We start from the raw sequence: 12,708 nt of genomic DNA on the forward strand, positions 1-12,708 counted from the left end.
AGAACCAGGGCAGAGATGCTGATTCTCTAGGATTGGAAAAAATGAGCTTATCCTTTGAAATCTTCTTTCCTTCTATTTTTTTCCTGGAGAATCACTGGAGTATTTTCTTATGAAAGGAACCATTTCACTATAGGAAGTAAGATCAACAATTGCAGAGAACAGTAAAGTCACACCTGCTGAGAGCCAATATATGGAATTCCTTTTCATTCTTACCACCATTCTGGGAGGTTAAGTAATAGGAAGCACTTTTCATTTTTCAGATGAAGAAAGTAAAGTTTAAAGAGTCTAACCTCAGTGTTTTGCGGGCTGACATGGAGATTCAAGGCCCAGGGTCTTTCAGACCCTCCATGACCCACATCCTCCACTATTCAAGGCCAATTCCAAATGCCATTTTTCACTGGGAGATTAAAATTACTGACTCTGTAGCTCTAAACTGCCTGTTAAGAGAGAGCAACTCCCATCCAAGCGCATAAGGGCCTGCCAACGGCCCAGTTCCTCCACTGCTCGGAATAGTAAAGATAATTAAATAAATCGTCTAAAAAAAACACTCCTGTTAAAATTTCAGTGGCTGCTTTTCTCCATGTTGAGTTCCCTCAGGACCCAGCATGTGTTATTTTTAATTAATAATGACATGGTTTATTACAGGATTCCTCCTATATAAAACAAATTAACAATCTTTCTGCAAGGGAAGAGGAGGAAGGCTCTCAGTTAAAAAAGAAAAGGTGGATCTCTTCTTTGAAAAGGAGAGGGTAACCCTAAGTTTCACTGAGGCATTTATGAGCATCCTTTTTTTTTTTTTTTTTTGAGACAGAGTCTCACTCTGTTGCCCAGGCTGGAGTGCAGTGGCACAATCTCGGCTCACGGCAAGCTCCGCCTCCCGGGTTCATGCCATTCTCCTGCCTCAGCCTCCTGAGTAGCTGGGACTACAGGCGCCCGCCAACACGCCCGGCTAATTTTTTGTGTTCTTAGTAGAGATGGGGTTTCACTGTGTTAGCCAGGATGGTCTCGATCTCCTGACCTTGTGATCTGCCCTCCTCAGCCTCCCAAAGTGCTGGGATTACAGGCGTGAGCCACCGTGCCCGGCATTTATGAGCATCTTAACAGTGATTCAGGGTAAAATAACGTCAGGGATAAAATATCCCATCTTAAGGTGCACAATGTAGGTACTCACCAAATCATTAAGAAAACTGACACACTGATATGGTCTCTTCTCCCTTTGAATTCTTTAACACGAGAGTTTGTATATTTCTTAGTATAGTCAAAATGTCCCATTAATACCTCCATATTTTGTAACTCTCCCTTGTCCATTTCCAAGCATATAGCTTTAAGCTATGAACTACTTGAAGGCAGGGGTTTATTACTCACCTGGGATGCTTGTCAGCACTCAGCACTGAGTCCATCCATTAAAATATAATTTCTTACATTTGCAATGCATTTGTTAGAAAATGCAAACTGAAATCATAATAATTTCAATTCCTCCATTAATAAGTTTTATGCAACTCCAATCAAAATTCCATTGGAGGTTTTTTTAGGGAACTTGACAAATTTGACCTCTAAATGTATGCAGAATGTCATAAAATGACAAATAGGACCAGCACTTCCCAAACTTTTTCACATCACGGTACATGATATTGTTTGGCTCTGTGTCCCCACTCAAATCTCACCTTGAATTGTAAATAATTCCCACGTGTCCCATGGGAGGGACCCACTAGGGGGGAATTGAATCATGGGGGTGGGTTTTTCCTATTCTGTTCTACTGATGGTGAATGAGTCTCACTAAATCTGATGGTTTTATACATGGGAGTTCCCATGCACAAGCTCTCTTGCCTGCCACCATGTAAGATGTGCCTTTGCTCCTCCTTCACCTTCTGCCATGATTGTGAGGCCTCCCCAGCCATGTGAAACTCTGAGTTCATTAAACCTCTTATTTATTTATAAATTACCCCGTCTTGGATATTTCTTCATAACAGTATGAAAGTGGACTGACACAGTACACAAGGAAAATGATCCTGTTTGTACTCACACCTGTGATGAAAAAGGGCGCTCCCAGCTGAAACTGACTGGCCCTGAACAATGACTGCCCTATATACAGGCATCGATTCCAGATGGATTAAAGATCTTTACTTTTTAGAAATTCTAGAAGGAATATACAAGAAAATTTTTAAGAATTTGAAATGAAAACTTATGGAAGACACACACACACACACACACACACATACACAGCACAGCACAAAAGTAAGGTCTAATAAACAGGGTATGTTGAAATGGAAGAGGGGACAGTGGGGAGGCGAATGGACAAAGGAAACCCTCATGTCTAGGAAAAGACACAAAACCATACTAGCAATCACAGAAAATGGATGAAAACCACAGAAAGACAGGATTTCACATCTAGCCCAAGGCCAAAAATGAAGCTTTGACCAGGGCATGGGAAAACTTGGATTACTGCATGCTGCTGGCTAGATGATAACCACTGTGGAAAATGACTGTCTCATTATCATCAGAGAAATGCTCTCATTTGTAAACCAGAACATTCACCCAAGAGTATTCTTCATAGCTCTGTTTGTTAACAGTAAAAATGTGCAAAAGACAACCTAAATGTCTAACATGAAGAAAACAGAGAAGTTGTGGAATAAGCAGAGAAAGCAAATTGAAAAATTATTTATATTGATACCATTTATGGAAAGTCTGAAAACAGGTAAAAACAATACTAACTATGATTTATGGTGAAATATACATGCAATATAAAACATAAATGGAGCTGGGCGCGGTGGTTCACGCCTATAATCCCAGCACTTTGGGAGGCTGAGGCGGGTTGGTCACCTGAGTTTGGGAGTTTGCAGCATGACCAATATGGTGAAACTCCGTCTCTACTAAAAATACAAAAAGTTAGCCAGGTATGGTGGCAGGTGCCTATAGTCCCAGCTAATGGGGAGGCTGAGACAGGATAATTGCTTGAACCCAGGAGGCGGAGGTTGCAGTGAGCCAAGATCATGCCACTGCACTCCATCCTGGGCAACAGAGCAAGACTCCATCTCAAAAAAAAAAAAAAAAAACCAAAAAAAAAAAAAATGAGGAAAATAAACACCAAATTCAGGACAGCAGTTGCCATAGAAGACAAAAGGTGTTGGAAAGGAGCCCCAATATTACATGGGGTTTCAACTATAGTGGTTTTTTCAATCTGAAGTATGTTGAAATGTTAGAATTTGATAAAGCCCCACAGGTGCTGTGCAGATTTTTTTAATTTTAACCTCTGTACTTTTTCTTTAGGTTTGATATGTCCAAAAATAAAGTTTGTTTCAACATCTTTAAGAAAAGAAAGTACATATTGATAAAAAGTTCCTTGGAACAATGTATAGTACAGAGATAATCAGAAGTACAAAGAACTTTGCTTAAAAAGGTTTCTTTTTAACAAAATTTGCATTTTATATTATGTAATATTAGGGAAATGATACAGATGATAGAGTTATAGAGACAGAGACATAGGCAGAGACAGAGATATATCCCAAAGACCCTCAAGTTACAACCATCATAATACATACATAAAATGGAATTCTATATGGCTATTTAAAATGTTATATTTCATCTGTATTTATTGCCAAAAACATCAACAAAAACTGTTATAAAGCAGTTTAGTGAATATAGTAGGACTCTATGAATGTAAAAGTACATGCCTGTGTAAATATATTGCCTATGCACACACAAAGTTGTCTAGGTAGTCCCAAAATGATTCTAGCTCTACAATAGTGAGATTTCTGAACACTTTATTTACCTTTTGTCCTTTCCTGAATCAAATGAATGTTTTGCTATAAGTGTGAATAATTACTATAATCACACACACACACATTTTTTCTAGTATGTTTGTGGGAAACCCTTCTCTCCACCGCATATTCAGCTTATGAGAAAATAAAGGTTTGCTAAACACTGCGGTTCAGCAACAATGCAACGTTGAAAAATAATGGAATAAGGAGTAAGAGGTGATGGTGCAGAGTGAAGAGCCAGAAGTAAAAAGAGAAGACGCGGAGGAGACCAGGCAGGGGAGCTCCAAAAACCAAGAGGTAGAGCCCAAACTGCAGCCGAGGATCTTGTGAACTCCACCCCAATCTGAGTTCCCTGAGTTACTCCTCATAGTCAGAGTTTACTCAAAGGCAGATATGGCTGTACTCACTTCCACTATGGTCCCAAGGGAATGGTTGTTCTTACCAGCTAGAAGAAACTTGTATTAGTTTGCTTGGGCTACTCCATCAGAAAAGCATAGACTGGGTGTCTTAAACAGAAACGTATCTCACAGTTCTGGAGGCTGGGAAGCCCCAGATCAAGGGGGCAGCATGGTCAGTTTCACTCGGAGGCCTCTCCTCCTGGTTTGTAGGTGGCCGCCATCTTGCTACGTGTTCACATGACCTCTTTGTGTGCTCAGGCAGAGAAGGGAGGCGGAGGGAGAGTGCATAAGCTCTCAGGTGCCTCTTCTTTTAAGGACAGTAATCCTAAAGGATTAAGGACCCAGCCTTATGTCCTCACTGAGCCTTAATTACTTCCTTAGAGGCCCCACTTTTTTTTTTTTTTTTTTTTTTTTGAGACGGAGTCTCGCTCTGTTGCCCAGGCTGGAGTGCAATGGCACGATCTCGGCTCACTACAACCTCCACCTCCCAGGTTCATGCCATTCTCTTGCCTCAGCCTCTCGAGTAGCTGGGATTACAGGTGCCCGCCACCACGTCCGGCTAATTTTTGTATTTTTAGTAGAGACGGGGTTTCACCATGTTGGCCAGACTGCTCTCAAACTCCTGACCTCAGGTGATCCACCCGCCTTAGCCTCCCAAAATGCTGGGATTACACGCCTGAGCCACCGCGCCCCCACCCAAGGCCCCACTTTCAAACACAGCCACACTGCGGGGGCTTCAACATAGGAATTTGGGGAGTTCACAAACGTTCAGGCCATAACCAATATTAAAGGTAGAGAATAAATGAAATAATAAAGCTGTACTCAGAGAAGTTTAAAATCCTTCTATTATCACAAGGTATCTGCTGTGCTGCTGCTTAGTCATCACCTCTGTGTAAGGAAGACCCATGGATGTCTTCTCAATCCAGTCAGAGCCAAGGACTTCTCTTCTTCTAAATACATATTCAGAGGTAACAAAACCTACCCTCACATATAACTATTTTAAAGTCACAAAATGCCCAATCTTGAGAGAGAAAAAATAGTGGAAAGTAATTCGTAAGAAAATAAAGCACACTTCAGTAGGTACAGGCTCAGGTACAACTCTACCAGAAGGTACAACGTGGCGGTCAAATCTTTTATCTACTTAACAATAAATAAGTGGGGATCTGACAGAAGATAGTATCAGGGTGGGGATGGAAGTGGCTGCTATCGGGTAACGGTTTACTCTTTGGGATGATGAAAATGTTCTAATGTTTTGGTGGTGGTTGCAAAACTCTGAATATACTAAAACCATTGAATTGTACACTTTAAGTGGGTGAATTGCATAGTATGTAAATTATATCTCAATAAATATGTTAAAAATTAAAAGAAAACAGTATTAAACTGAATATTGTTGGCATTCTTTTCTATGCAGTATTTTGAATGCAGCACAAGAATAGTCATACGTAAAATTGTCCAGTATGCAACCAGAAAAAATAAATGTACACTGATATGTATGTGTTGCCTGGATTGAAATATCAACAGGGATATTGTAGTCCCTGATTTTCTAAGAGTAAACAACTCTTGTTAAGCTTCCAAACAAAAGAGCCATCTTCATTGGACTTACCAGGCAGCTGTATTCTTGAAAAATTCAGACTATTTTAAAACTATACAAACCATATATAAACAACTTAGAGCTGGAATTAGGTTCCAAGCTCCATTCACTGCACACATAATTTCACCTTTGTGTCTGGCAGAACATTTCAAGATCACCAGGAACAATTATTCATTGTATGGGGCTCTTCCAGGCGCTGAGGGACATTTGACATCCTTAGCCCCTGCCCAGGAAATGCCAGCGGCACCTGCCCATCAATAACTCCCCCGCACATTCCCCAAAGCTCCTAAGCTGCAAAAGCAGACCCTGGAGATCACCAGGCCATCTTGTTTAATAGCCTCGGCTCTGTATTCGTCTCTGAAATCAGCTTAGACAGCTACTGTTCCAAAGACCCACAACACGTCTGGCATCCCATGTAAAGATTATCAGTAATACAAATACTAATAATAGCCATTTACATTGTCTCAAAATTAATCCTCGAAATCACACAGACTATCGAGTTACCCTTTAATTTTCTAAGTGGTGCATGGTAATTTAATTGTGCACCTCTGATTAGCCTCCGTTTTGAGCTGTGCAGTTAACTCTCTAAAAAGTTCACTGGAAAACGAAAACCTCAAATCTCTGGCTCTTTCTCATCATTTCAAGTCAAGCCTTTGTTTCCTGGTCCCAAAGCAACCGCTCTTTTGCTTCCAAAGCTGCTCTTAAAACCGAACTAGATTCCCTTTTGGTGTTCCCCTTGGGGAAAGGGGTTGCACAGTAATTTCTCCATGCAATTCTTTGGGTAATGTATTTTAGGAAAGTCACCGTAAATAAAAGACAAACATAGGGATGTCGCCATGCCCTGCGGACTACCATGAAAAGCATCGTCTCCTCCCTGCTGTCCTTCATACGAGGGACTTTTGCCCCCAGTGCTTCCCTTCATGTCACTCTAATTTGGGCCACCAGACCACTGGGGGAAACCAGGTCTTCCTTGAAAAAAAAAAAAAAAAAAAGTTCTCCCTATTCCTCTCTCGTATCCACAACAACAACAAAATAATAAGATTGTTTAATTTTTTTGTTTCTATTACACAATAAAGTTGACCTGTCTTAGGTATATAGTTTTATGAATTTTACACATGTATAGATTTCCATTCCCACCACCACCATCAGGATACAGTTTCATCACCCCGAAAAAAAAATCCCTCCTTCTGTTTATCTTCACAGTCACATCCTTCCTCCACCTCAACCCCCGGGGCAACTACTGATCTAAAGTTTTGCCCTGTAATCCTAGCACTTTGGGAGGCCAAGGTGGGCAGATCACTTGAGGTCAGGAGTTCAAGGCCAGCCTGGCCAACATGGTGAAACTCTGTCTCTACTAAAAATACAAAAATTAGCTGGGTGTGGTAGCGTGTGCCTGTAATCCCAGCTACTCAGGAGGCTGAGGTAGGAGAAACACTTGAAGTCAGGAGATGGAGGTTACAGTGAGCTGAGATCATGCCACTGCACTCCAGCCTGGGAGACAGAGCGAGACTCTAACTCAAAAAAAAAAAAAAAAGAACGTCATATAAATGGAATCTAACAGCATGCAACCTTTGAGACTAGTATTTTGCCCCCAGCATGATGCCTTCAAGATTATTCTCCATGGTTGTATCAATAGTTCTTTCAACTTTTTTGCTGAGCCAGTTTCATTACCTGAATGAATCTGTTTGTCATTTGTCCATTCACTGCTTAAAGACACCTGGGCTGTTTCCACTTTCTGGCAACTATGAATAGGGCTGCTATAAACATCTTACCCAGGTTTTATGTGAACGTAAGTTTTCATCTCTCAAGGTTAAATACCCAGGAGTACAATTGCTGGGTTGTATGGTGGGTGTATGTTTAAAGTTGTAAGAACTGCCAAACTGTTTTCCCAATTGGCTTTCCCATTTTGCATGGGATCACACCACTAGCAACATACAAGAGTTCCAGTGCCTCCACATCCTTTGTCGACACTTGATATTGTCAGTTTTTTATGTTACTAATTATAATAGGTGTGTAGTAATATTGACTGTGGCTCTAATTTGCAATTCTCTAATGCAAATAATACCGACATCTTTGCATCTGCTTATTTGCCATCTGTATATCTTCTTTGGTGAAGTGTCTTTTTAAGTCTTTTCTCCATTTGTAATTGGATTATTTTTCCTTCCTGTTGAGTTTTAAGAGTCCATTTTATTCTAGATACAACAAGAGCTTTGTCAGGTATGTGATTTGAAAATATTTTCTCTCAGTCTGTATTTGTCCTTTGACATTTCATTCTTTTAAGTGTCCTTCACACAGGAAATTTTTCATTTTGATGAAGTCCACTTTATCAATTTGTTGTCTGTTCTCATGTCTATGAACTCTTGCCTAATCCCAACCCACAAATCCCATGTCCTCTTCTAAACGTTTTACAGCTTTATGTTTTACATCTAGATCTATAATCTGTTGAGTTAATTTTTATATAATGTGTTAATCCACTTTTAATTTTTGGCACATGGCTGTCCCACTGTAGGAGTCTACATAAAACAATTTCCTCTTTGATAAAGTAAGTGCTGAAATAATAATAGTCCCAGATGGAACTCACTTTCTGAGGTCATCCTTTCTTTTATGCTTAAAATGCAAAAGTCTCTCTGTGTACAAATACATTTGTACCAAAAAAAAGTGTAAGAACAAGGTGACTAAGAAAAGCTTAAACTTGCAGCCTCTCAAGACTGGGACCCATTTCTACTATACAGGAGCAGAAGGCTGCCTTCCCCAGTGATTTAAATCCAGGCATTACTTGTGAGATCCAAGCAGCCCATGCGGCTTGGAAAACTTGAGAGCTTGCCTTACTTCTCCCCTAAATTCCCTGCCGGCTCCTGAATTCACATGAGGCTGCCAGATATAGAACCTTCACTGCCATTGTATGAGCATGTGGCTCGTTATTTTGTAAGCAACAGATATACTGGGGTTAATAAAATCCAAAAGAACTACCTCAAATAACAGTACAATCTCAGTAGCATTTCACGGACTAAGAAATGTCATGGCTGAGGCTAAAATGACAGCGGACAGATGGAAAAGACCAACAGTGAATGATGGTGATGATGATGACAATGATGTCAATGACGCCTGGCGTGTGTTTTTACCCAAGGCTGGAAGCAGAAGGAAGAGCCTCTGTTCTGGCTCTAGGGGCCCCTTCCTGCACGGAGGTTCTCACGAGCCGAGCTTAGGTACTGGCGTCCAGTCCTCAGCAGCCATCAGCGCAGCACAGCACGGGTGCTAAAGACATCCCCACAACCACAAAAGCGGTGAGGGAACTGAGGAAATGTGTGTGGTGAGTTCTGCAAAGAGCATGAGCTGGAGGGAGAGAGGAGGTGCTGCTGCTGCTGCAGGTACCTCTGCTGGGTCACAAACTGCCCTAGCGCCCAGGGGCCAAAACACCATTTGCTGATGCTCACAGATTCCTCGGTTAGAAATCCAGATGGAACACAGCAAGGCAGGCTCGTCTCTGCTCCACAATAACCGGGGCCTTGGCTGGGAAGGCCGGGACTGCTGGCCACAGCGCCTATACATGGCCTCTCCATGCAGCATGGCGGCCTCACAGCATGGAACCACATTTGTTCCCCCATGACTCAGGTGCCCAGGACAAGGGTTCCAGCAAATGAGGTGGCAGCTGTGTCACCTTCTCTCACTCAGCCTTGGAAGTCACCCGAGGTCACTCGGGCTGTCCCCTATTGGATCCAACAGTCCCAAACAAAGCCACCCAGATTCAAGGACAGAGAACATGGGTCTCACCCCTCAATGCAAGAAATGTCAAAGAATTCTAGAGTCAGATTTTAATACCATGGTTACAGGCCTCAGAAACCCCTGAAGAAACCCTTTGCACGATTTCTAGGAACTGATGGAGATGGTCTAAGACAACCTGTGGCCCCTGGGAACCCTTCTCGGCTGCTAAAAATCTCGGCTGCCCAAAGATTGGGTTGTAAACGTTTTTTAGAGAAGGGGGATCTCTTTATTATCCCCCTTACAACTGTGTAGCAGGCTATTTCTCAAGATTCTGTTTCTGAACAACCTGAAAGGTAAATCAATACCTTCAGCCGACTTTATAACATTTCTCATTATTTTTAAAAATAACTAGTCCAACTAGTTCCAAGGCTGCTATTTTGAGACTTCCGTTAAAATCACCTCCTAGGGTCCACCCGCGCTTCAGCACAACCCCATAACTAATCTGAATCACATCACCTGACTTCTTAGAATCAAACATTAATTAACCGCTTTCATCCCAGGTGGAGGAAGCATGTGAATTGAGTAAACCATCTCTGGTGGCCTTAGGGACATACACCACCCACCCTGTCATCCGTTCAGCAATGCAACCTTAGCACAGGATGGCCCAGGAGCAGGTACTTGCATCACTTGGGAAGGACAAGCTTTAAATTAATAATCACCATAATTATACAAGCAAGAAAAACTCCACCAAGCCACCTTAGCTAAAGCAGTTCCAGCTCCCTGTCTCTCTCTTTCTTCCTCTCTCTCTGCTCCTCTCTTCCTCCCATCTCTCTCTATCCCCCATCACTCCCTCTCTCTCACTTCCCATATAATATGCCCCTTCCCAAGTCAGATGTGGTTCTTTAATTTTTGCTATTATACCTCCACAAAAACCACCTCTGATCAAAATCTTTGCTGCTGTCAGGAAACAGAGGAACAAAGACAAGGTCTCTCATCTGACTTCTGATGCTTTTTCCCCTGTCTAATCCATCCCATGGTAGCGTCCTCCCTGGAAGGGGGACAGGCAGCAGTTTGCGGTCATCTTCAAGCCCAGCTACTGTCCAGCTCCAAGGCAGGTCAGGACACCTTGATGCAGCCAGGCCTCTGTCCCTCCCTCAATGCCTGGCCTAGCACAAGGATAGGTATTTTCTTCTTTCTTAAAAGCCTTCTCAGTTAATATTCCTCTGTGACTTCTTTGGTACTTGTATTCTGACACAAGTCCTCCAGCCTACCAAGGCTTCATTATAAACCATGTCATTGTAAAGAAGGAAAAATTACACTGTGAGTTCTAGCTCAGAATTCCCCCATAGGCTAAGACCTTCTCTCTGCCTTTCATCACTCGATGGCACACACCATTAATTCTCAACACACTGTCTAACCAGGAGTCTGTTGATGGGTAATTTTTTAATAGGGAAATCATTCTCACTATCCACTGGGACAGGAAAGCCAGGTGAAAACTGTGATCAGCACAATAATCCTGAAAGACAACCTTTAAACATATCTATCCAATTATGCTCTTGAATCTAATGGTCTTTACCTTATAAAGACAGGATGTCAGAGTCGGAAAGTCATTTTAGTTCATTAAACCCAGGCATCTTCCCAGGAGAGGATCAGAGACTAAAAGGCATCCCCACATGCAGAACTTTTCAGAAGAGCACCTGTCTCCTGCACCCACCACTGCCGCCCTGTCCACTGTGGTGGTAAAGATCCTTCCTCTCTTCCTGCGCCCCCAACACTGAGAACTTGCAAGCTAGTCACATCCACTCAAGTCACAGATGAAGTGACTGACACCCAGAGAAGCATGACTTGGGCTTCACATGGGACCCTGTGCGCATCACTCCTGTAATCCCAGCACTTTGGGAGGCCAAGGCAGGCGGTTCACCTGAGGTCAGGAGTTCAAAATCAGCCTGGTCAACATGGTGAAACCCTGTCTCTACTGAAAAAAACAATACAAAAATTAGCCGGGCGTGGTGGTGCGCCCCTGTATTCTCAGCAACTCAGGAGGCTGAGGCATGAGAATCGCTTGAAGCTCAGAGGCAGAGGTTGCACTGAGCCGAGATCATCACACCATTGCACTACAGTCTCCTGGGCAACAGAATGAGACTCTGTCTCAAAAAAAAAAAAAAAAAAAAAAGGAAAGGTGAATGGTTACAGCTCTTCCAGACCTACAGGTCATCTACCGCCGAAGTCATCTGCGGAGTGATGGTCACCTATGGAGGCTACTGGTATTGGCTCTTGGTACCAATGAGCCACTGGGTTTCTGTGTGTAACTGCAGTTTATTGTAGGTTTCTACAGCTGAGACTTTTCTACTTTATTCTGTTTCTTGCAAGTGTTTCAGTGGATGAACTTCAATAAGGCTGAGAAGAGTGGCTAAGAGAGCATCTAAATCTACATCCAAATGAGAGAAGACGCTACGAATGTGTGTTAATAAGACAAAAACAGGGCTCACCCAAGGCTTGACATAAAAGACATGCAAAAGGGTGCTATTCATCAATAGCAATTAAAAGCTCTACTATTTATGCATATTCTTTAATAGTTTGCCTTAACTGGGGAGGGAAGGTGCAGAAAAAGGAATTGTTCAATAAGTTAACTTTTTAAATTAAACAGACATATTTATTTGCGCTTGTAAAATAACAAATGTTTGAGAAATTTTTACAATGTTCACTTCCTCCCCGACCCAGCTTATAAAAATGCTTTTTATTAAAACAAGCCAAAGTGAAAACAAGTCTACTGGGCCCATTGATTTCATTCTCCTAGGAAAAAAAAATTATTTCACTAAAACCTAAATATTTCCATTAATGTCCATGACAGAATTGCAAGAACAAACACACAAATAGAGAACCAGTCTGAGGTCACTATTCACAGCACAGCACTGGGTGCAGGCAGCACCTTGGAAGCCTTAACAAAGGAACTCAGAATAGGCCAAAGAGAAATTACACAGTGAGTCTAATGGAGATGAGGTTTTTCTTTTTTTGTTTTTGAGACGGACTCTTGCTCTGTTGCCTAGGCGGGAGTGCAGTGGCATGATCTCAGCTCACTGCAACCTCCGCCTCCTGGGTTCAAGTGATTCTCCTGCCTCACCCTCCCGAGTAACTGGGATTACAGGCGCACACCACCACGCCCAGCTAATTTTTGTACTTTTAGTAGAGATGGGGTTTCTCCATCTTGGCCAGGCTGGTCTCAAACTCCTGAACTCAGGTGATCCGCCCACCCTGGCCT

General features: G+C 42.3%; 1 protein-coding gene across 9 annotated transcripts in view, besides 1 other annotated feature; it reads right to left on the bottom strand.

The window, feature by feature from the left end:
- The window catches only part of SFMBT2 (Scm like with four mbt domains 2), a 252,867-nt gene that overhangs the window by 161,792 nt on the left and 78,367 nt on the right, over positions 1-12,708 (bottom strand). The gene's annotated exons all lie outside the window — the stretch shown is intronic.
- Positions 8,742-9,243: an enhancer, noted in NCBI's record as "H3K4me1 hESC enhancer chr10:7371119-7371620 (GRCh37/hg19 assembly coordinates)". NCBI's record gives its function as "activates a minimal SCP1, AML or CMV promoter by ChIP-STARR-seq in primed H9 embryonic stem cells {active_cell/tissue: H9 hESC(primed)}" and the evidence as "EXISTENCE:reporter gene assay evidence [ECO:0000049][PMID:30033119]".

Source organism: Homo sapiens, chromosome 10 (genome assembly GCF_000001405.40).
Source record: "Homo sapiens chromosome 10, GRCh38.p14 Primary Assembly".
Lineage (NCBI taxonomy): Eukaryota > Metazoa > Chordata > Mammalia > Primates > Hominidae > Homo > Homo sapiens.